Source organism: Homo sapiens, chromosome 11 (assembly GCF_000001405.40).
Source record: "Homo sapiens chromosome 11, GRCh38.p14 Primary Assembly".
NCBI classification, from domain to species: Eukaryota; Metazoa; Chordata; class Mammalia; order Primates; family Hominidae; genus Homo; species Homo sapiens.
In genome coordinates, this window is record NC_000011.10 from 118995558 (window position 1) to 119018392 (window position 22835).

At 46.8% G+C, this 22835-nt stretch overlaps 2 protein-coding genes, 1 long non-coding RNA gene and 1 pseudogene across 7 annotated transcripts, besides 11 other annotated features; 1 reads left to right on the top strand and 3 right to left on the bottom strand.

Annotated features, from left to right (window-relative positions):
• Positions 1244-2445, bottom strand: CENATAC-DT (CENATAC divergent transcript). The gene is made up of 2 exons (NR_186355.1): positions 2171-2445; positions 1244-1719 (listed from the first exon to the last, which is right to left on the bottom strand). It is a non-coding gene; the product is annotated as a CENATAC divergent transcript (long non-coding RNA).
• Positions 1757-1846: an enhancer, noted in NCBI's record as "active region_5614". NCBI's record gives its function as "activates an Ori minimal core promoter by ATAC-STARR-seq in GM12878 lymphoblastoid cells {active_cell/tissue: GM12878}" and the evidence as "EXISTENCE:reporter gene assay evidence [ECO:0000049][PMID:35858748]".
• Positions 2024-2549: an enhancer, noted in NCBI's record as "H3K27ac hESC enhancer chr11:118868291-118868816 (GRCh37/hg19 assembly coordinates)". NCBI's record gives its function as "activates a minimal SCP1, AML or CMV promoter by ChIP-STARR-seq in primed H9 embryonic stem cells {active_cell/tissue: H9 hESC(primed)}" and the evidence as "EXISTENCE:reporter gene assay evidence [ECO:0000049][PMID:30033119]".
• Positions 2024-2626: a biological region, named in NCBI's record as "H3K27ac hESC enhancer GRCh37_chr11:118868291-118868816".
• Positions 2437-2626: a silencer, noted in NCBI's record as "silent region_3960". NCBI's record gives its function as "represses an Ori minimal core promoter by ATAC-STARR-seq in GM12878 lymphoblastoid cells {active_cell/tissue: GM12878}" and the evidence as "EXISTENCE:reporter gene assay evidence [ECO:0000049][PMID:35858748]".
• Positions 2550-3075: an enhancer, noted in NCBI's record as "H3K27ac hESC enhancer chr11:118868817-118869342 (GRCh37/hg19 assembly coordinates)". NCBI's record gives its function as "activates a minimal SCP1, AML or CMV promoter by ChIP-STARR-seq in primed H9 embryonic stem cells {active_cell/tissue: H9 hESC(primed)}" and the evidence as "EXISTENCE:reporter gene assay evidence [ECO:0000049][PMID:30033119]".
• Positions 2550-4145: a biological region, named in NCBI's record as "CDK7 strongly-dependent group 2 enhancer GRCh37_chr11:118869213-118870412".
• Positions 2581-20236, top strand: CENATAC (centrosomal AT-AC splicing factor). Of its 4 annotated transcripts, none has more exons than NR_104051.2 (11): positions 2581-2760; positions 2873-3036; positions 3454-3552; positions 6056-6268; positions 15207-15273; positions 15664-15754; positions 16382-16446; positions 16592-16697; positions 19437-19526; positions 19750-19882; positions 19981-20236. NR_104051.2 is itself a non-coding variant. In NM_198489.3 (11 exons), the coding sequence occupies exons 1-11, from the start codon at positions 2641-2643 to the stop codon at positions 20039-20041; spliced, it is 999 nt and encodes a 332-aa protein (NP_940891.1). In that variant the 5' UTR covers positions 2581-2640; the 3' UTR covers positions 20042-20236. The 4 variants fall into 4 exon arrangements, 1 of the variants encoding a protein (NP_940891.1); NR_104050.2 differs by lacking the exon at positions 6056-6268 and adding an exon at positions 17675-17705 and having other exon boundaries at positions 19731-19882; NR_104049.2 differs by lacking the exon at positions 6056-6268 and adding an exon at positions 17675-17705.
• Positions 2946-4145: an enhancer, noted in NCBI's record as "CDK7 strongly-dependent group 2 enhancer chr11:118869213-118870412 (GRCh37/hg19 assembly coordinates)". NCBI's record gives its function as "activates an origin of replication core promoter dependent on BRD2, BRD4, P300/CBP, MED14 and CDK7 cofactors, with strong dependence on CDK7, by STARR-seq in HCT116 cells {active_cell/tissue: HCT116}" and the evidence as "EXISTENCE:reporter gene assay evidence [ECO:0000049][PMID:35650434]".
• Positions 3076-3601: an enhancer, noted in NCBI's record as "H3K27ac hESC enhancer chr11:118869343-118869868 (GRCh37/hg19 assembly coordinates)". NCBI's record gives its function as "activates a minimal SCP1, AML or CMV promoter by ChIP-STARR-seq in primed H9 embryonic stem cells {active_cell/tissue: H9 hESC(primed)}" and the evidence as "EXISTENCE:reporter gene assay evidence [ECO:0000049][PMID:30033119]".
• Positions 3422-3716: an enhancer, noted in NCBI's record as "tiled region #14267; HepG2 Activating DNase unmatched - State 1:Tss". NCBI's record gives its function as "activates a minimal TATA promoter and a strong SV40 promoter by Sharpr-MPRA in HepG2 cells {active_cell/tissue: HepG2}" and the evidence as "EXISTENCE:reporter gene assay evidence [ECO:0000049][PMID:27701403]".
• On the bottom strand, positions 7396-8036 carry RPL23AP64 (ribosomal protein L23a pseudogene 64; annotated as a pseudogene). The gene has a single exon (NR_003040.2). The product of NR_003040.2 is annotated as a ribosomal protein L23a pseudogene 64 (transcript).
• On the bottom strand, positions 20160-22786 carry RPS25 (ribosomal protein S25). Its single transcript, NM_001028.3, has 5 exons — positions 22725-22786; positions 22401-22496; positions 21805-21988; positions 20284-20382; positions 20160-20201 (listed from the first exon to the last, which is right to left on the bottom strand). The coding sequence occupies exons 1-4, from the start codon at positions 22725-22727 to the stop codon at positions 20288-20290; spliced, it is 378 nt and encodes a 125-aa protein (NP_001019.1). The 5' UTR covers positions 22728-22786; the 3' UTR covers positions 20160-20201; positions 20284-20287.
• Positions 22508-22577: an enhancer, noted in NCBI's record as "active region_5615". NCBI's record gives its function as "activates an Ori minimal core promoter by ATAC-STARR-seq in GM12878 lymphoblastoid cells {active_cell/tissue: GM12878}" and the evidence as "EXISTENCE:reporter gene assay evidence [ECO:0000049][PMID:35858748]".
• Positions 22598-22827: an enhancer, noted in NCBI's record as "active region_5616". NCBI's record gives its function as "activates an Ori minimal core promoter by ATAC-STARR-seq in GM12878 lymphoblastoid cells {active_cell/tissue: GM12878}" and the evidence as "EXISTENCE:reporter gene assay evidence [ECO:0000049][PMID:35858748]".

Sequence of the window (22835 nt, forward strand, 5' to 3'; positions counted from 1 at the left end):
CACCCTGCTTTTTTTTTTTCTTTTTGAGACAAGGTCTCATTTTGTTGTCCAGGCTAGAGTGCAGTGGCACAAACACAGCTCATTGCTGCAGCCTCAACCTCCCAGGCTCAAGCAATCCTCCTGCCTCAGCCCCCCAAGTAGCTGGGACTATAAGCACATGTCACCAGACCCAGCTAATTTTTGTTTTGTGTTTGGTTGTTTTTGAGATAAGAGTCTTGCTCTGCCACCCAGGCTGGAATGCAGTGGCGCAACAGGTTCAGTGCAACCCCCGCCTCCTGGGTTCAAGCAGTTCCCCTGCCTCAGCCTCTCGAGTAGCTGGGACTAGACACATGCCACCACACCAGGCTAATTTTTGTATTTTTAGTAGAGATGGGGTTTTGCCATGTTGGCCCAGCCTGGTCTTGAACTCCTGACCTGAGGTGATCTGCCTGCTTAGCCTCCCAAAGTGCTGGGATTACAGGCGTAAGCCACCGCGCCTGGCAGTACTTTTTTGTAGAGACAGGGTTTCGCCATGTTGGCCAGGCTGCTCTCAAACACCTGGGCGCAAGCCATCTGCCCACCTCGGTTTCCTAAACTACTGGGATTACAGGCATGAACCACTACACCCAGCCTCCAGGCTTTAACTTGGTGGTGTCATTCACTGGGAGGATGAAAATAGGGGATGTCCTGAAGAGGAAGATGTTGAGTTCCATTTGACACAAGCCGAATTCCGATGCCAGCTGACTACTTGGTGGTGGAGAACTTCAGTGAAGCAGTTTCATAAGCAAAACTGCTGAAGGCTTAGACGTTACTAGAAGTTGAAGCAGATAGTGGTGTAGACTACTCTGACCAGCTTTGGAACACATGAGGGAAGCATGCCTGGGTTGATCCAAAATTGGGGTTTGACAGAACGAGAGGTCTTGGAAGGTCAAGTGAAGTAAGAAGTTGCCTTGAGAGGGCAGCTGAACATTCCTGAGATCCAATGACGAAACTGAAGCAAGAGGATCTAAGACCTAGACCAGTGCTTCTCAAATTTGATCCCGCATCAGTATCCCCTGAAAAGCTCATAAAACCACAGCCGGCTGGGCCTCACCCTGAGTTCTTTTTTTTTTTTTGAGACGGAGTCTCACTCTGTCGCCCAGGCTAGAGTGCAGTGGTGCAATCTTGGCTCACTGCAACCTCCGCCTCTTGGGTTCAAGCGAGTCTCCTGCCTCAGTCTCCCGAGTAGCTAGGATTATGGGCACACGCCACCACATCTGGCTAATTTTTCTATTTTTAGTAGAGACGGGGTTTCACCATGTTAGCCAGGCTGGTCCTCAACTCCTGACCTCAGGTGATCCACCCTCCTCTGCTTCCCAAAGTGTTGGGATTACAGGCATGAGCCACCACGACAGGCCCTCACCCCAAGTTTCTGATTCAGTAGTTCTGGGTTGGGGCCCAAGAATGTGCGTTACTGACAAGTTCCCTGATGCTGATGCTATAGGCCCAGGGGGAATGGGGAAGCACACTTCGAAAACCCCTGGTGGAGAGTAAAGCATCAGCAGCAGGCAGACGTTGAATCATTTCCAGAGTGAATGGATGAAAAGAGGCGTCTTCTTCAGGAAGAGAGGTCTTCCTGTAGTCAAAGACTAGGCTGACGGTAAGGCCACATCGGATAACTTAAGGTGGTAGGCAGAGCCGAACTTCAGAGTCTGGATTCAGAGACGAAGCAATTTGGGGGGACAAGGTCGAGGACTGACCCTGCCAGGGGAATGATAGGAGATCAAGGAATTGGGTGTTACAAGGGTATTCAAAATGAATTATTTCTGGCAGAGGCTACAGTCTAGAGGACAGTTCCAACAGGAAGTGAAGATCTGAAGGGTTGGAAGTAGCTACGCCGGGCCTGAATTCTGTAGCGCTGACCGTGGGCAGGCCCTACAGACAGCAAGCAGTCCATCCACGTTAGTGCACCAGAACTAGCAACAAAATCTACGGGAAGTGTGCGATCCCTCAGCAACAACGCTGCACGCTGTGTAGCCTCCCTTACAGCTTTATAGGAACCACGGCGAGCACACCCTGTGGGGGCGATTGAGTTTAGTTCGTGGTCCCCTCCAGCAGGCATTCCCCTCCAACCGCCGTACTGATGAGTGACGGGGATCAGGTGCTGACCGCGCTACTTAACACCCGTGCAACCCTCCTCAAAGCTCCTTACCTCCTCATGCCTCAGGTTTCCCGCTTAAAAATGCGCTAATAGCAGTAATAGTAAACCACACAACCTCAGCGAGATGACACAGTGAGGTGGTTAACGTAAAGCTCTGGACACACAGTGCGCACCTATACATCAGTTATTAAGTGTCCTGTTGGCTACTACAGGTCCTGGCCAATGCTCAGAGTTGCGTGTGGCCTATGAGCCTCACGTTGCGGCGGGCGCGCGTCCCCGCACATCTGCAGGACGGCGCCATCCTCCTCCTTAACCCGCCCAGCTCTGGGATGTTGTTGCCTGGGCGGGACTAGAGGCCCGGGAGGAGTCTGCGCAGCCGCAGAAGGGCTTGCAGTGGCGCCTGCCGGGCGCTGAGGGCCGCGGGAGCCGCCGGGTTAGCCCCACCCCGAGGGGTCAGGGTCAGAGGCCGCCGGATGGCGTAGGATCGGCCGCTGGTGGTGGTGATACCGGGTACCCGGGCTATGGCGCCGGCGCAGCGCTGCCCTCTGTGCCGCCAGACCTTCTTCTGTGGTCGCGGGCACGTTTACAGCCGCAAGCACCAGCGGCAGCTGAAGGAGGCTTTGGAGAGGCTCCTGCCCCAGGTGCGGAGGCAAGGCTAGAGATGGGATGGGAGTGCGGGGCAGGTCAGTGAAGGCCAGAGCGGGTGTGATTTGGGGGTCCCCCTCGGGGTTCTACTTGGCCTCTCTGCGGCAGGTGGAGGCGGCCCGCAAGGCCATCCGCGCCGCTCAGGTGGAGCGCTATGTGCCCGAACACGAGCGATGCTGCTGGTGCCTGTGCTGCGGCTGTGAGGTGCGGGAACACCTGAGCCATGGAAACCTGACGGTGCTGTACGGGGGGCTGCTGGAGCATCTGGCCAGGTGAGAGCCGAGCTAGGAGCCTGCTCCAGCACAGACGCATACATATACGGGAGGAGGGTTTGGGGTGGGTGAGAAAAAGGACGCTTTTGTGATTTGATCAAGAAGGATGGATTGAGTCACTTCACAGGTTTTGCCAGCCTTGTTAGGGTAGGGGTCATATGCTGCCACGGTCCCAAGTGGTGCTGGTGGTCTGGCTGCGAGAGCCCGCTTGGTTACCGCCCCTAACCTCCCCTCAGATTCTCACAATTTTATGGGAAGAAGAGACACGAGATCTTGAAGAGATGGTAACAGTGTTCCTCTCTCAGCCGTGCCCCAGGCAGAAACCCAGATGTCAGTTTGCATTACAAACCTAATGCTTAATATCTGAGTAATATTTTATAATCTATAGCTGAGATTACTTATCCTCTCCATTTTCAGCCCAGAGCACAAGAAAGCAACCAACAAATTCTGGTGGGAGAACAAAGCTGAGGTCCAGATGAAAGAGAAGTTTCTGGTCACTCCCCAGGATTATGCGCGGTGAGTCACTGGTATGGAACGTGAAGTAGCAGAGTGAATTCTCTGGATCTTTGTCAGGTATGGGAGCTTACTCTATTAACTGGAAAGTTCAGGAGGGACTTACGAAGAATCTGCTGTCTTCATAGCACTTCTTATTCTAGGTACTATATTGGACACAAAAATGTGACAGTTCTTGAGGTTTAGTTGGGGGATAGGATTTAGCAAATAGAGAACAATACTAAAAGTTGACTGTTATCAACTACTTAAATATGAGGCACCGAGAATACTAACGTTAGAAGAGGCTGTTTATAGTTTGTAAGAAACTGCTGCTCAGCCAGTACCTACTTTTAATAGTTTTGGACTCTATTTTATTTTATCTTTTCTTTTGAGACAGAGTTTTGCTCTTTTCGCCCAGGCTGGAGTGCAATGGCACAATCTCAGCCCACTGCAATTTCAGCCTCCTGGATTCAAGTGATTCTCTTGCCTCAGCCTCCCAAGTAGCTGGGATTACAGGCGCAAACCACCACACCTGGCTAATTTTTGTTTTTACGTTTTTTTCTTTTTTTCTTTTTCTTTTTATTTTTCGCTCTGTTGCCCAGGCTGGAGTGCAGTGGCGCGATCTCCGCTCACTGCAAGCTCTGCCTCCTGGGTTCGCGCCATTCTCCTGCCTCAGACTCCTGAGTAGCTGGGACTACAGGCGCCTGCCACCACGCCCGGCTAATTTTTTGTATTTTTAGTAGAGACGGGGTTTCACCGTGTTAGCCAGGATGGTCTCGATCTCCTGACCTCCTGATCCGCCCACCTTGGCCTCCTAAAGTGCTGGGATTACAGGCGTGAGCCACCGCGCCCGGCCAATTTTTGTATTTTTAGTAGAGATGGGATTTCACCATGTTGGCCAAGTTGGTCACTAACTCCTGACTTGAGGTGACTCACCCGCCTTGGCCTCCCAAAGTGCTGGGGTTATAGACGTGAGCCACCATGCCTGGTCTCAATGATTTTCTTAATGGTATCTGGGAATTCATCTGCTGCCTCTTGGTTGGCAGAAGCTGCCCCTTCTGCTATTTTGACATATTTTAAGCCAACCTTCTTTCTAAAATTATCAAACCATCCTTTGCCGACATTAAATTATCCAGCTTTAGATCCTTCACCTTCCTTTCGCTTTAAGTTGTCATGTAATGATTTTGCTTTTTCTTGAATCCTATTAGAAGCTGTAGGTAGGACTTTCTAATAACAACCCTGTACCCACATAAAAGCTGTGTTTTCAATATGAAGATAAAAAGGTATTGTGCAAAGCATGCAGGGTTTTCATGCCTCCTGGCATAGGTGCAGTGATAGCTTCATGAATTTCCTTTTTTTTTTTTTTTTTTACAGTGTTCCTTAGGCTGGATTTAGTTATTTTTTTCTTTGCCTTTAAAAAAAAATTTTTTTTGTCCAGGCATGGTGGCTCATGTGAAGTCAGGAGTTTGAGACCAGCCTGGCCAACACGGCAAAACCCTGTCTCTACTAAAAATACAAAAATTAGCTGGGTGTGGTGGTGGGTGCCTATAATCCCAGATACTCAGGAGGTTGAGACAGGAGAATCGCTTGAACCTGGCGAGGCAGAGGTTGCAGTGAGCCGAGATCGCACCACTTCACTCCAGCCTGGGCAAAAGATCGAAACTCTGTCTCAAAAGGAAAAAAAAAATTCTTTTTTTTAAATTGAGATGGGGTTTTGCTATGTTGCCCAGGCTGGTCTCGAACTTCTGGGCTCAAGCAATCCGCCTGCCTCAGCCTTCCAAAGTGAGCCACCATGCTTACCCCTCACCCTTTTTTTTCCACATAGATTTTGTCAATGTGCATGGATTCATTTATCTTGAAATGCTGGGCAACTGCAGCTGTAGATCCTAATCTACAGTACATATCAAACAATTCAGCTTTTTCTTGTAATGTCATGACTTTTCTCTGCTTCTTTGGAGTGCTTCAGGCATCACTAGTGGCACCTCCTATAGGTCCCACGTTACTATTTGAGGTTAATGGTATGACATTACTGAAAAATATGCAGGAACCATGAGTGATCACTTTTACTGTAATATGCAATTTACTGGTGAGACAACTGCTTACAAGATGATCAGCATTACTGTGTTTTAAGCAGATACAACACTTGAGTTCACTGCAATAGGTGGCTACAAAATTGTGACAGTTGTAGTTTGGATTATAATTTTATACAGTTATGTAATATTGCATCTTTACATTTATTTTCATTTCTCTTGACCGCGAATGTCACCATGTACAGTCTGTGTTTCTGTGTGTAAGTTTTGATAAATTTTAACTTTTTTTTTTTGGAGAGGGAGTTTTGCTTTGTCACCCAGGGTGGAGTACAGTGGTGCGATCTCGGCTCACTGCAACCTCTGCCTCCCGGGTTCAAGCGATTCTCCCGTTTCAGCCTGGATTTGTGTATTTTATGGTAGTAAATCATAAAAGACTAGTATCTACATATATTTTATGCATTCATGACATACCTTTTTAATTTTTTCCATATTTCTAGGCTATGTGGTTCATCTGCAAGTTTTTTCAAATTGTTGCAAATCTCCAAAAAAATTTTCAAGTGAACTCGTGCAGTTCAAACTTGTGCTGTGCAAGAGTCAACTGTATTTGCTTATTTTCTCAAAAAGGAATGCCTAAAGGATAATCAAGAAACTAATGAAACTGCCAGATGTGGTGGTGCACACCTGTAGTCCTAGCTACTCAGGAGGCTGAGGTAAGAGGATAGCTTGAGCCCAGGAGTTTGAGGCCATCCTGGGCAGTGTATCAAGACCCCATCTCTAAAAAGAAATACGAATTTTTTTTTAGAGAAGTTAATGAAATTGATCACATGGCCATGCTCAGTGGCTGACACCTGTAATCCCAGCACTTTGGGAGGCCGAGGTGGGAGGATCATTTGAGGTCAGGAGTTCGAGACCAGCTTGGTCAACATGGTGAAACCCCATCCCTACTAAAAATACAAAAAATAGCTGGGCGTGTTGGTTTGTGCCTGTAATCCCAGCTACTCGGGAGGGTGAGGCAGGAAAATCGCTTGAGCCCAGGAGGCAGAGATTGTACTGAGCCAAGATCATGCCATTGCACTGCAGCCTGGGCAACAAGAGCAAAACTCTGTCTCAAAAAAAAAAAAAAAAAAAAAAAAGAAACTGATCACATATCAGTTAGTGTAACCAGTTGGTGTGACCCAGTTTGTGGGTCAGTAAAAATGTTTAGAGTTGATAGGAATAGAAAAAAGATTTTTTTTTTTTTTTTTGGACAGTCTCACTCTGTTGCCCAGGCTGGAGTGCAGTGGCACAATCTCAGCTCACTGCAACCTCCACCTCCCAGGTTCAAGCAGTTCTCCCATCTCAGCTTCCAGAGTAGGTGGAATTACAGGCTTGTGCCACTACGCCTGACTAATTTTTGTATTTTAGTAAAGATGGGGTTTCACCATGTTGGCCAGGCTGGTCTTGAACTCCTGACCTCAAGTGATCCACCTGACTCGGCTTCCCAAAGTGCTAGGATTACAGGCATGAGCCACCACACCCGGCCTAGAAACAAGATTTCTATGTATACTTTTAAAAATAAGCTGTTGGTTTTTTTTTTTTTTTCTGATGGTACATTTGGGAATTATACTGTAACAGGCATAAGAAGTAAGATTTCTCCCATGCGAAATTTTGTATTCAGAATCCAATAGAAATATTTCAGGTTTTTTTTCAAGATGGAGTCTCGCTCTGTTGTCCAGGCTGGAGGGCAGCTGCGTGATCTCGGCTCACTGCAACCTCCGCCTCACAGGTTCAAGCAATTCTCCTGCCTCAGCCTCCTGAGTAGCTGGTATTACAGGCATGCGCCACCATGCCTTGATAATTTTTTTTTTAATGGTGAAAAGATATACATATATTTAGAATTAGCCAACTGGACTCAGTTGAGATGATCCCTATTTTGTTGGCAACATCCAAAGCATTGTAATCAGGAGCCAGTCGAACATGTTCCTTCTCTCCATCAGGCCGAATCAGGGTGTTGACCTTGGCCACATCAGTGTCATAGAGCTTCTCTGGTGCTGTGGCTTAACATTCACAGTGAACACAAGTGCGTGTGTCTTCTGTCTTCTTCATGGAGACTCAGTGGTCAGAGGAAACTTGATGATGCATAGTGGTCAAGCTTGTTTCTCCTGGGGGTGCTCTTAAGATATTTGCACTGCCTCCGGAGTCGCAATGTCTTGGGCCGCCAGAAGGCTAGTGATACGCGGATCTTCTTTTTTTTGTGGCTGTGGACACCTTTCAACACTGCCTTCTTGGCCTTCAGAGCCTTGCTTTGGCTTTAGGAGGGGCAGGAGCTTCCTTCTTAGCTTTTGGTGCCATCTTGTGAAAAGGGGCTGATTTTTGTATTTTTCGTAGAGATAGGGTGTCACCATGTTGGCCAAACTGGTCTCGAACTCCTGACCTCAAATGATCTACCCACCTTGGCTTCCCAAAGTGCTGGGATTACAGGCGTGAGCCACTGCACCCGGCCAATAATTAGAAATATTTCTCTCTCTTTTTTTTTTTTTTTTTTGGGAGACAGAGTCTTGTTCTGTTGCCCAGGCTGGAGTGGCATGATCTTGGCTCACTGCAACCTCCACCTCCTGAGTTCAAGCGATTCTCCTGCCTCAGCCTTCCGAGTAGCTGGAACTACAGGTGCATGCCACCACACCTGGCTAATTTTTGTAATTGTAGTAGAGATGGGGTTTTACCATATTGGTCAGGCTGGTCTCGAACTCCCGACCTCAGGTGATCCGCCTGCCTTGGCCTCCCAAAGTGCTGGGATTATAGGCGTGAGCCACCGAGCCCGGCCCAAATTAGAAATATTTCTAATCAGATATTTCCATGGTTATAGATATTTGGTTGCTTGGTTCATATGCATAGAAACAGTTGTCATAACTGTAAAAAGCAGTACTTAGCAAGTATTTCTAAGTGATTGGAATAGCTTTCCTTTAATGTTACAATACTGCCTATTGATTTGGAAATTAGATCACGCTCTATGATGTTTCGATTTTACTCAAAGGCATCATGAGTACTCTGCTCATTCTTTCATTCTTTATAGTTTTCTAGTTGAGTTAGGAACTATTTTATCAGAAATCATTTTAGCATTATAATAAGGGTAGATGACATACCATAATGATTTTCAGATTTTTTTTTTTTGAGACAGAGTCTTGCTCTGTTGCCCAGGCTGGAGTGCAGTGGCACGATCTCAGCTTACTGCAACCTCCGCCTCCTGGGTTCAAGTGATTCTTCTGCCTCAGCCTCCCGAGTAGCTGGGACTATAGGCATGCGCCACCATGCCCAGCTAATTTTTGTATTTTTAGTAGAGATGGGGTTTCACCATATTGGCCATGCTGGTCTCGAACTCCTGACCTCATGATCCACCCACCTTGTCCTCCCAAAGTGCTGCAATTACAGGTGTGAGCCACTGGTCCCAGCCTGATTTTCAGATTTTTAATAAAAAGGGTATCTGGATTAGCTGGGCATATAGTCCTACCTACTCTGGAGGCTAGCCTATAGTCCTACTTACTCTGGAGGCTAAGGCAGGGGGATCACCTGAGCCTGAGGGATCACTTGAGCCCAGGAGGTTGAACCTGCAGTGAGCTGTGATCCCACCACTACACTCCAGCTGGGCAGCATAGCAAGAATGTCTCTTTAAAAAAAAAAAGGCAATTCAGTTGCAGTGGCTCATGACTGTAATTCCAGCACTTTTGGAGGCTGAGACAGAGGATCATTTGAGCCCAGGAGTTTAAGACCAGCCTGAACAACATAGTGAAACCCCATCTCTAAAAAAAAAAAATTATATTAGCCAAGCATGGTGACATTTGCCTGTAGTGCTAGCTACTGGGGAGGCTGAGGCAGGAGGATTGCTTAAGCTCACAAGGTTGAGGCAGGAGTGAGCTGTGATCACACCACTGCACTCTAGCCTGGGCAACAGAGCAAAATACCCTGTCTCAAAAACAGCAAGAAAAAAAAAGCCAATACCTGGAAACTTTGAACAGGGTGAAAAGAAGAAAACACGGAGGAGTCTGCTAAAGCACAAAACTTCTCTCTGGTCCTCAAATAAATAAAAATTTTTGGCCGGGCACGATGGCTCATGCCTGTAATCCCAGCACTTTGGGAGGCCAAGGCCAGCAGATCACGAGGTCAGGAGATCGAGACCATCCTGGCTAACACGGTGAAACCCCGTCTCTACTAAATATACAAAAAATTACCCAGACGAGGTGGTGGGTGTGTGTAGTCCCAGCTACTTGGGAGGCTGAGGCAGGAGAATGGCGTGAACCCAGGAGGTGGAGCTTGCAGTGAGCCGAGATCATGCCACTGCACTCCAGCCTGGCGACATAGAGTGAGACCCCGTCTCAAAAAAAAAAAAAATTTTTTTTTTTTACAATTCCACATTGTCATTTTCTTTTCCTCTGGTCTCAAACTCCTGGTCTCAGGCAATCCTCCCACCTCAGCCTCCCAAAGTGCTGGGACTACAGACAAGCCACTGTGCCCAGCCAGCTGCCTAGAAATTTCTGGACTTCAACCACACTGTAATTTTTTTTTTTTAATCAGTTTCTTCTATTTCCTTGAACTCAGTTTCCAGGAACTTCTGGTTTGGAAATTAGAGACCTGCCTTCCAGGTTAGTCTACAGAAAGTCTAGTTGTGTTCCACTGTGTCTTCATTGTCCTGCACACTCATGTGATACACTCAGGTGTTGTGGATTATGAGACCCAGAGAGAAACTTCCTGGTGATAATCGCACAAAGTATAGGAAAGAAACCTGGCAGTCTGTACAGTCCATTATTATTATGTGCTTAGTCCATTTGGTTAAATAATTTGAGATGCTTTTTTTTTTTTTTTTTTGAGATGGGGTCTTGCTCTGTCACCCAGACTGGAGTGCAGCGGTACAATCATGGCTCACTGCAGCCTCAAACTCCTGAGGGCTCAAGCAATCCTCCTGCCTTGGCCTTCAGAGTAGGCAGGATTTTTTTTTTTTTTTTTTTTTTTTTTTTTTGAGATGGAATCTTGCTCTGTCGCCAGGCTGGAGTACAGTGGCGTGATCTCAGTTGACTGCAACCTCTGCCTCCCAGGTTCAAGCGATTCTCTTGAGTAGCTGGGACTACAGGCACAGGCCACCACACCCAACCTTTTTTTTTTTTTTTGAGATGGAGTCTTGTTCTGTCACCCAAGCTGGAGTGCAGTGGTACGATCTCGGCTCACTGCAAGCTCCGCCTCCTGGGTTCACGCCATTCTCCTGCCTCAGCCTCCCTGAGTAGCTGGGACTACAGGCGCCCGCCACCATGCCTGGCTAATTTTTTGTATTTTTAGTAGAGACGGGGTTTCACCTTGTTAGCCAGGATGGTCTTGATCTCCTGACCTCGTGATCCGCCTGCCTCGGCCTCCCAAAGTCTGGGATTACAGGCGTAAGCCACCATGCCCGGCCTAATTTTTGTATTTTTAGTAGAGATGGGGTTTCACCGTGTTGGCCAGGATGGTCTCGATCTCTTGACCTCGTGATCCACCCGCCTCGGCCTCCCAAAGTACTGGGATTACAGGCGTGAGCCACTGCGCCTGGCTTAGTCCACCTATTTCTAATGTGACTGGGTCATTCATCAACCTCTGTGATATGGTTTAGCTGTGTCCCCACCCAAATTTTTTTGACTGTAGCTCCCATAATTCCCACGTTGTGGGAGGGACCCAGTGGGAGATAACTGAATCATGGGGGCGTTTTCCCCCATGCTGTTCTCATGGTAATAAGTCTCACATGATCTGATGATTTTATAAGGGGTTTCCCCTTTCACTTGGTTTTCATTCTCTCTGGCCTGCCACCATGAGACATGCCTTTCACCTTCTGCTGTGATTATAAGGCCTCCCCGGCCACATGGAACTGTGTGAGTCTATTAAACCTCTTTTTCTTTGTAAATTACCCAGTCTTGGGTATGTCTTTATCAACAGTGTGAAAATGGACTAAGACACCCTGTCAACATCATCTCTCTGCTCCAGTGCTGCATCTTCAGGAGCCCAGGTTCCAGATAAATGAACTGTAGTGGCAGCCAGTGGCCAGGAGATACCGGCAACCTAAATATAGTTTTCTTTTCGTTTCTTTTTTTTGGAGAGAGTCTCGCTCTGTCACCCAGGCTGGAGTGCAATGACATGATCTTGGCTCACTGCAACCTCCGCCTCCCAGGTTCAAGTGATTCTCCTGCCTCAGCCTGCTAAGTAGGTGGGATTACAGGCACGTGCCACCACGCCCGGCTCATTTTTGTACTTTCAATAGAGATGGGGTTTCAGCATGTTGGTCAGGCTGGTCTCAAACTCCTGACCTCATGATCCGCCCACCTCGGCCTCCCAAAGTGCTGGGATTACAGATGTGAACCACCTAATCTGGCCTTTTTATTTATTTATTTATTTATTTTGAGATGGAGTCTTGCTCTGTTGTCCAAGCTGGAGTGCCATGATACAATGACAGCTCACTACAGCCTCAACCTCCCAGGCTCAAGCAATCCTCCCACCCCAGCCTTCCAAGTATCTAGGGCTATAAGTGTGCACCATCACACCTGGCTATTTCTGTATTTTTTGTAGAGACAGGGTCACTATGTTGCCTGAGCTGGTCTCAAACTCCTGGGCTCAAGCAGTCCTTCCACTTTGGCATCCCAAAGTGTTGAGATTACAGGCATGAGCCACTGTGCCCAGCCTAATTTTTACTTTTGAACCTTGTAAATTGTCAAACATACACACACAAGGCAATTCCAAGGTTTGGTTGATTTGACTGGTAAAGATAGGAGGAGGCACTTTTAGATTTAGATGGTTTCTTACATAGACAGTGAAAAGAAAAGGAAGACCAAAGAGCCAGCTTCTCAGGTCCTTGTTTCATACACCAAAAAGGACAACACTGAAACAAAAAGGACTGGATGACCCCAGTGTGAGTTGTGGGATATTCTGTTGCTGGGGAATCAAATCTAGACTGTAGTAGCTAAGTGGCTTTTTTGTTGTTTTTAAATTTTACTTATTGAAGGGGTGGCCTGCCCCTCCACACCTGTGGGTATTTCTAGTCGGGTGGGATGAGAGACGGAGAAAAGAAATAAGACACAGAGACAAAGTATAAAGAAACAACGGTGGGTCCAGGGGACTGGTGCTCAGCACACCAAGGACCTGCACCGGCACCGGCCTCTGAGTTCCCTCAGTTTTTATTGATTATTATTTTTCATTATTTCAGCAAAAAGGAATGTAGTAGGACAGCAGGGTGATAATAAGGAGAAGGTCAACAAATTACATGTGAGCAAAAGAATGTATATCACGATTAAGTTCAAGGGAAAGTACTATGCCTGGACGTGCACGTAGGCCAGACTTATGTTTCTCTCCACCCAAACATCTCAGTGGAGTAAAGACTACAAGGCAGTATCACTGTAAACATGTCTCGCCTCCCGCCACAGGGCAGCTTTTCTCCCATCTCAGAGTTGAACAAATGTACAATCGGGTTTTAAGCCGAGACATTCAGTTCCCAGGGGCAAGCAGGAGATAGTGGCCTTCCTCCATCTCACCTGCAAGAGGCTTTCCTCTTTTACTAATCCACCTCAGCACAGACCCTTTACAGGTGTCGGGCTGGGAGACAGTCAGGTCTTTCTCATCCCACGAGGCCATATTTCAGACTATCACATGGAGAGAAACCTTGGACAATACCCCGCTTTCAAGGGCAGAGGTCCCTGCGGCTTTCCACAGTGCATTGTGCCCCTGGTTTATTGAGACTAGAGAATGGCAATGACCTTTACCAGATGTACTGCTTGTAAGTATTTTGTTAACAAGGCACGTCCTACACAGCCCTAGGTCCCTTAAACCTTGATTTTATACAACACATGTTTTTGTGAGCTCCAAGTTGGGTCAAAGTGGCTGGGTCAAAGTGGCTGGGACAAAGCTACAAATCAACAACATCTCAGCAAAGCAACTGTTTAAAGTACAGGTCTTTTTCAAAATGGAGTCTCTTATGTCTTTCCTTCCTACATAGACACAGTGACAGTCTGATCTTTCTTTCTTTTCCCTACAACTTATTATTATTTTTGAGACAGAGTCTTGCTCTGTCACTGGCCTGGAGTGCAGTGGCCCGATCTCGGCTCACTGCAACCTCCACCTCCGAGGTTCAAGCAATTCTCGTCTCAGCCTCCCAAGTAGCTGGGATTACAGGCACCTGCCACCACATCTGGCTAATTTTTTGTGTTTTTGTAGAGACAGGGTTTCACTATGTTGGCCAGGCTGGTCTTGAACTCCTGGCCTCTTGATCCACCCGTCTCGGCCTCCCAAAGTGCTGGGATTACAGGCGTGGGCCACACCGCGCCTGGCTTAAATGATTTTTTAAAACTAAGTGGCTTAATATTCTGCAATTTTAATCTGAGAGGGGTGGAACAGAAAGCCCCATACCTCATCAGAACCTGGGAGTTGATGAGAAACCATTTGATGACAACCTCCTAGGGGAGATGGGGAGGGAAGTGGGAGATGGCCTCATAGCAGCTTCTGGCAGACCTTCCACCCTCGTGTTCCAGGAGGATTAAACAAGCCTTTCAGCCACAATTCGGTAAGGTGTGGCTCAAGCCATTGTCTCCTTGGATATATTCAAGGCTCTCAGGGAACACTGTTGATAGTGGTATTGGTATTATACTGAAACTTTGTGTTGAGAACCAGGGTTTTGAGAACCAGGGTTTTCACTATGGCAAAAGGAAGATACAAGTAAGGAATGGAGGCATTTGAATAGGGAGGTGACAGTACAAATTACTGATTTAAGGCCAGGCATAGTGGCTGATGCCTGTAATCCCAGTTCTTTGGGAGGCCAAGGCAGGAGAATTGCTTGAGCCCAGGAGTTCGAGACCAGCATGGGTGACATGGCAAAACCCTGTTTCTACAAAAAACACAAAAATTAGCCAGGCATAGTGGTGCTGTCCTGTAGTCCTACCTACTCAGGAAGCTAAGGCAGGAGGATCTCTTGAGCCTGGGAGCCTCTTGAGCAGAGGTTGCAGCGAGCTGAGGTTGTGCCACTGCACTCCAGCCTAGGCAACAGAGCGAGCCCGTCTCAAAAAAAAGACAAAGAAATTTAGGACAGTATGCAAGATTTGGCCTGGATTCTTCTGAGGATGTGAAGTAATGGAAACAGTAAGACTGTTCCAGACTAGGGGAAGACTAGAGACCTAATAGCTGGATTCCATGTGATCTTTTGTTGGACTTTGGGATTGGAGGTGAGAGTAGAGAAGGCATAATGCACGTTTTTGAGACGAGGGAAATGTGAATATAGCCTGTATGCCTACACTCAAGTCTGAAGACATGTAAACCATGTCTATACTAACCAGCCAAATATTTGAACACTAAAAGGAAGAATTTTCTTAATGTGGTAATGGTATCATGGTTGTATAGAATGTTCCTCCTCTTGGGAGATGTGTGTTGAAAATAGGGTTTGACGTCTAAACCTATTTTGTTTTGGCAAAAAGGACGTGTGTCTGTACAAAAGAAGTGGAGCCAGTATGGCAAAATGTTTACAAGGACTCTGGGTGAGAGGTACATAGGTGCTTACTATACTGTTTTGTTTCTGAATTTGGAATTTCTCAAAATTAAAAAAATATCTACTGAGGAGCTTTTCGTTTTAACTGGTGGGGAATGGGTTCTGGGTGGTTTTGCCCCTTTTCTTTTTAGATTCAAGAAATCCATGGTGAAAGGTTTGGATTCCTATGAAGAAAAGGAGGATAAAGTGATCAAGGAGGTAAGTTAAAGTAGCAGTCCCTCACCCTTTTTGCACCAGGGGCTGGTTTCGTGGAAGACGGTTTTTCCACAGATGGACCCAGGCAGGGGATGGTTTCAGAATGAGACTGCTCCACCTCAGATCATCAGGCACTAGATTCTCATAAGGAGCACGCAACCTAGATACCTTGCATGCCCAGTTCACAATAGTGTTTGTGCTCCTATGAGAATGTAACACCACCACTGATCTGACAGGAGCTCAGGCGGCAGTGCTGTTGCAGCCTGCTTCCTGACAGGCCACAGACCAGTACTGGTCCACGCCTGGGGGTGGAGGGCCCAAGTTAAAGGAAAGGCCTCTGAAGAAACTGGCCCCCATGATCCTGTACCTGTCTAAGCAGCCTCTCTCCCACAGATGGCAGCTCAGATCCGTGAGGTGGAGCAGAGCCGACAGGAGGTGGTTCGGTCTGTCTTAGAGGTTGGTTTCCCTCGGAGGATCCAGACCAGTATCCAAATCCACTGATCCCTGGCATTCCCAGGTCCAGCATTTCATGGACTAGTGCTTCTTCTTCTTCTTTTTTTTTTGGAGACAGAGTTTCGCTGTGTCACCCAGGCTGGAGTGCAGTGGCACGATCTCGGCTCACTGCAACCTCCACCTCCCAGGTTCAGGTTCAAGCGATTCTCCTGCCTCAGGCTCCCGAGTAGCTGGGATTACAGGTGCCGCCACCACGCCTGGCTAATTTTTATATTTTTAATAGAGGTGGTGTTTCACCATGTTGGCCAGGCTGGTCTTGAACTCCTGACCTCAGGTGATCCACCCGCCTCAGCCTGCTGGAATTACAAGCATGAGCCACTGTGCCCGGCCATGAACCAGTGCTTCTAAGAGAACTCTGACTGCATTCTCATCTGCTTGGCTTGAATTCCCTTACCTGTGTGCCAGGGGGCAGGCCTAGTCAGTGAATATGTGGACAGGACTGGGAGGGAGGGAGGGAAGAGTCTGTAAAAGATGGGCAGTACCTTCCATATGCTAATTTGTTTCCTTCCTGTGATACTGGGGTCTGGAGGGTGGAGGCATGGCCTAGGCAGGCTCTTAAGCATCCCAGACACATTTATTTTTCCTGAATCAAACTCAGCCTCAGGCAGTGCCAGACCCAGAAGAGGGCTCTTCAGCACCTAGAAGCTGGAAAGGGATGAACAGGTAAGACTATTAGGGAATCTCTTGTTGGGAATTTGACATCTTAGAACATTCTGCAACCTTTTGCCTGGGAAATGGAAACAGATCTAATCTTTACCACCCTCATGGCTCAAGGACCTCATCTGGCAGCCTGGCTCATGTTTTTCAGCCAAGTAGCTTCCAGCTTACAGCAGCCCTCAAATTTGGACCTGCCACCAGCTCCAGAGCTTGACTGGATGGAGACAGGACCATCTCTGACATTCATTGGCCATCAGGTACAAAGGATAAGCAAGCCAGAAGAGGGCCAATGGTCCCTCAGGTCTCAGGACCCCTTTCTCCTGATTTTCTACCTATTCAAGCCACTGCTGCCTCCACTGCAGGCTTTTCCTTCTTCCTTCACTGTTCCCTAGTAGTGTTCTCAGACCTCTTCTCACCCTCCAAAGCGATCCTATTCACATGTATTGACACTTAGGAGTGCCAACTCCTAAATCTTGCCCTCTGTAGAACTCATAGTTCCAACTCAACACAGGACATTAAATATCCCACAGGCATCTGAAACTAACCCCCACCACTCCTATATTTCCAATCACTAGATGCAGATCCTTTCCTTTTCCATCTCCCATATCCTGTCAACAAGCGGTCAATTTTAACCTGTCTGCCTCCATTCAGCCTTTGGGCAATTTCTACTCCCCCTTCAATCCTGCCTCACAAACAGAAAATCATTGTACCACTTATGATTTTACTCTACACTTCAGCTGTATTGTGTTGCTTCGGGCTTTTGCAGTTGCCATTGTCTAAAACCTGCTTTCCTTCCCTCATCACCTAGTTTACCTTCAACTGTTAGCTCAAATGTCACTTTTTCATAAAAGGCTTATCTGAACAGGTTATCTCTATTTCAAGTGGATGTAGCACCATGTAAAGTTGCAAATGTAATTTACGTAACTTGTGCTTAATGCTCTTCCCCAATTATATGTATGCTGTGAGGGCAAGGTTTTGCTCCCCTGGCATGTAATAGCCACTCTACTTACAGACATCTCCACTGTTATGACTGTGAGCTTCCTGAGGACAGGGTTGTCTTAGAGTGACTTACTGTGCTTTCAAAGTTTAACATCAGCTGGGGTGCAGAATTAGCATTGTGGCAGCAGTCACACCCACCTCTTTTAAAGTGTGCTTTGTCTATCGTTTCTAGGATTTTTTTTTTTAATCATGCCTAGACTTTAACTAGCACTTTTTTTCCCATTTCCAACTACAGGATATACCAGGAGTTGGTAACATCCACTCAGGTAAGGTCCAGGGCAGTGTTTTTAAAACCCTGGGAGATTTTTTTTTTTTTTTGAGATGGAGTCTTGTTCTGTCGCCAGGCTGGAGTGCAGTGGCGCAATCTCAGCTCGCTGCAACCTCTGCCTCTCAGGTTCAAGTGATTCTTCTGCCTCAGCCTCCCAAGTAGCTGGGGTTACAGGTGTGCACCACCACACCCAGCTAATTTTTTTTTTTTTTTTTTTGAGACGGAGTCTCGCTCTGTCGCCCAGGCTGGAGTGCAGTGGCGGGATCTCGGCTCACTGCAAGCTCCGCCTCCCGGGTTCACGCCATTCTCCTGCCTCAGCCTCCCAAGTAGCTGGGACTACAGGCGCCCGCCACTACGCCCAGCTAATTTTTTGTATTTTCAGTAGAGACGGGGTTTCACCGTTTTAGCCGGGATGGTCTCGATCTCCTGACCTCGTGATCCACCCGCCTCGGCCTCCCAAAGTGCTGGGATTACAGGCATGAGCCACCGTGCCCGGACTTTTTTTTTTTTTTTAAATAAAGTTGGCCAAGATAAAGCGTATGTATCGGTAAAAGCCTTATATCCAGAATATATGAAGAACTGTCAACTTGATAAGGAAACAACCCAATAAAAGCATATGAATAATGTTCAACATTAGTCATTAGAGAAATGCAAATTAAAACCACAGTGAAATACCACTACATATGTATTGGAATGGCAGAAATTAAAGACTGATCATGCCAAGTGTTTGGCAGTGTAGAAAAACCAAACCTTCATACACTGCTCTTAGAATGTAAACTGGTACAGTCACTTTGGAAAACAGTTTGGGATACACCTACCACATTATCCAACCGTTCCACCCCTAACTAGAGAAAAGAAAGCCTGTCTACATAGACTTGTACACAAATCTTCAGAACAGCTTCACTTGTAGCAGCTCCAAATTGGAAACAATTCAGATGTCTATCAACAGGCAAATGGATTAACAATGGAATAGTATTCCAGGATGAAGACAGAATTATTGATACGTACGACACAGATGAATCTCAGAAGTCCAGACCTGGCCGGCGTGGTGGCTCATGCCTGTAATCCCGACACTTTGGGAGGCCAAGGCAGGCGGATCACGAGGTCAGGAGTTCAAGACCAGTTTGGCCAACATGGTGAAACCCCATCTCTACTAAAAATTCAAAAATTAGCTGGGCATCGCAGCGCACGCCTGTAATCCCAGCTACTTGGGAGGCTGAGGCAGAATTGTTTGAACCGAGACCTGGGAGGCGGAGGTTGCAGTGAGCTGAGATTGTGTCCAGCCTGGGCTAGAGCGAGACTCCTCTCAAAAAAACAAAAGGCCAGACCCCACCTCAATGTCCACACACAGAAAATCCTAAAAAATACAAACCAATAAAGCAACTGAAAGATCACCGATTGCCTGGACATGAAAATATTTTAATGGGGGCAGTGATACTTACAGGGGGATGTTTGGGGTCTAGATTGTAATGGCTTCGCTCAAAAGTCACCAAATTTAAGTGTGTATCGTTTATGTCAGTTGTGCCTCAAAGCCATTTTAAAATGACTGTCACATATGGGGTATGTCGCTTTAAATTAGCCTAGGGCCTTCTAAAGCTCCAGAATTCCTGGGCTTTGCTTTTAGACATTTCTAGCTCTTAATGAGGAGAGGTAAGCTAACAGCTAGGACATGTTTCACAATAGCCTGAAGACTTAAAAAAAAAAAAAAAAGCCTTAATTTTTTTTTCAGGTGCCACACCTCCCTGGATGATCCAAGATGAAGAATACATTGCTGGGAACCAAGAAATAGGACCATCCTATGAAGAATTTCTTAAAGAAAGTAAGTAAACTAATTCAAGAGAGGATCGTCTAAATCTTCACACTCAAAAATGGTTTCCTTGCCTGTGTGTGGTGGCTCATGGCTATAATCCTAGCATTTTGGGAGGCTGAGGTGGGAGGGTCACTTGAGCCCAGAAGTTTGAAAACAGCCTGGACAACATAGTGAGACCCCATCTCTATATTCTTCAATAAAGAAAAATAAAAGTTTCCCTATCATTGTACAGAGGAAAAACAGAAGTTGAAAAAACTCCCCCCAGACCGAGTTGGGGCCAACTTTGATCACAGCTCCAGGACCAGTGCAGGCTGGCTGCCCTCTTTTGGCCGCGTCTGGAATAATGGACGCCGCTGGCAGTCCAGGTATGTGTGTTCAGTGCCGGGTCTCCAACCTACCCATCCAACCTCCTTTTTGGAGATGTCACCCTTCATCATCGTGTTAACCCTTTATTTCCTTTCAGACATCAATTCAAAACTGAAGCTGCAGCAATGAAGAAGCAGTCACATACAGAAAAAAGCTAATCATGCTCTCTACCAACTACCATGAGGCTAAAAGCAAAGTCAACAAACCCCTATTATACCTTCCACCAAATTCTTTATCATTGTCTTTCTTAGGAAACAGACATACTCATTCATTTGATTTAATAAAGTTTTATTTTTCCAAATGTACAGCTGGTTGGACCTGTAAAAAAAAATTAAAAGAATCAGAACCATAAAGCTTTGTATCTACCTCCTACACCATGAGCCCACACATTCCTACTCACCTATTCATGCATCTTCACCAGCAGCTGGAGCATCTCCACCCTTGGTATTTCTGGTGTAAATTACTTGAGCTCTGTGCTTTGAAACCAGTTTGATAAGTCCTAGGGGGAGAGAATAGCACGATGAGATGCTTAACAGATGCTACAATAGAAACTAGTAAGGTTTTTGGCTGGGCGCGGTGGCTCATGCTTATAATCCCACTGCTTTGGGAGGTGGAGACGGGCAGATAGCTTGAGGTAAGGAGTTGCACACCAGCCTGGCCAACAAGGTGAAACCCCATCTCTACCAAAAATACAAAAATTAGCTGGGCATGGTGGCACATGCTTGTAATTCCAGCTACTTGGGAAGCTGAGGTGAGGACCACCTGAACCCAGGAATTGGTGGTTGCATTGAGCCAAGACTGCCCCTCCGCACTCCAACCTGGGCAACAGAATGAGACTCTAGTAAGGTTTGTTTTGGCCGGGTGCAGAGGCTCATGCCTGTAATCCCAGCACTTTGGACAGGTGGATCTCTTGAGCCCAGGAGACCAGCCTGGGCAACATGGCAAAACCGCATCTCTATTTAAAGAAAAGGAAAACAAAAAGACAGAGTTCTCTCAGAGGTGCCCAGAATGGTCTTAAAACTCCTTGGCTCAAATGATCCTCCTGCTTTGGCCTCCCAAGTAGCTAGAAATACAAGGGTACCACTGCACCTGGCTCCAGAATTGCTTAATCTGACGTTCGGTAACCGAGAATCCTAGTTTTTAACGATCATCTATCCTTACTTTTCCTTTAAATTAGGGCTCCATTATCTTCCACCCCCCCCCCCTTTCTGAGACAGTCTTTTGCTGTCACTAAGGCTGGAGTGCAGTGGTGTCATCTCGGCTCACTGCCACCTCCATCTCCTGGGTTCAAGGGATCCTCATGCCTCAGCATCCTGAGTAGCTGGGATTACAGACGTGTGCCCCCACGTCCAGCTAACTTTCAGTAGAGCAGGTTTTCACCATATTGGCCAGGCTGGTCTTTAACTCCTGACCTCCGTTGATTCACCCGCCTTGGCCTCCCAAAGTGCTAGAATTATAGACGTTCAGTCACTATAGTTAGCTGAGCCTTATTATTGTGGAATTATGGTAATCAGACCATACTACTGAGTAGACCGTACTAAATTTCTGGTTTTAAAATTTAATACATCAACAAAATATTTACCATAAAGGTTTTAAACATTTTCAAAGTTGTTTCAAAATAGTAATCTAATTATTTCAAAAACGGTTGTCCCTGTAATTCTATGCATCCATTTACTCGAAACATAAAAGATCCTTGGGCTTCACTAAACTGCCACAGGGTCCACGGCACAAAAGTGGCTAAGAACCCTGAGAATTCATCTCAGGATCAGGAGTAAGACGTCAGAATTACATTACTAACAGCCAATGGTCAAGCCACGCTTTTTTTTTTTAATTCTGCTTTTCCAGCAAAACCACTGAAGATGCTTAACATGGTCAAGACAATTTAACCTACAAAAACACACATGTAGGATACACCCCTCACCTTTACTAAGGAGCTCCTGAAGGGCTGCCCTGGCCAGGGAGCCTCGAATCTTCAGTCTCTCAGAGACCACAGCTGGGGTTATAAGTTTATAGTTGGGAACTTCCTTACAGAGTTTATCATAGGTAGCTTTGTCAAACAAGACTAAGTTATTGAGCTTGTCCCGAACTTTGCCTTTGGACCACTTCTGCTCACCAAAACAAAACAGAAACAAGTTAGTATTTCTGGCAGAAGCACCCTTTCCCTCTCGAGTAATCTGCGTCAGAGAAATCTGTTCCACCGTTATCAAGGATAAATTACACATTACTAAAACAAAAACAAAAAAAAAACACCGACACGTTTTTGGCCTTCAAACAGGGGCCGAGCCCCACTAGATCAGTTAAAAATAACACAGCAGGCACAGCGGCAGACACTTCGCACAACAGACCCATTTTCATGATCCTAATGGGAAAAAGAACGAGTGGTGACGGGAAGATAAACTCTCACATTTTGACTCTAGAAATCTACACCTGAAAAACCACTTACTATACAAGTTACCTATTACTAGAGGATTACGAGAGAGTTACCCCTAGTCTCTTTCAGAGAGGTCTTATTTCTACCTTCTTTTTGGCCTTGCCCCCGGATTTGTTCACTGGGTCTTTGTCTTTCTTGGCCGACTTTCCAGCGTCCTTCTTCTTCTTGTCGTCCTTAGGCGGCTGTAGGAGGGCAGCGGGAATGCAACCAGGTCCTCAAATAGCGCCAAAGTCCCCTAATACTGCGCCCTCAGCCCCCGCAAACTCCACCACCAGAGCACATGGGCCAAGCAATAACCGCGCCCGCCCTGCAACCGAGGCCGGCAGGCCAAGGAGCGCTCCCGCCGAAGGCTCTCCCCACTGAGTCCTCAAACCCAAGAACGCCGGCGACTTCACACCCCTGAAGCTTACCATTGCGAAGCTCGGAGAATAGCAGCAGACACCGCAGCCTCGTCAAGATGTCGGACAAAAAGGAAGCGCTGCTCAGAAACGGGCCCAAAAACCACCGTCCGCTGTGAGTAC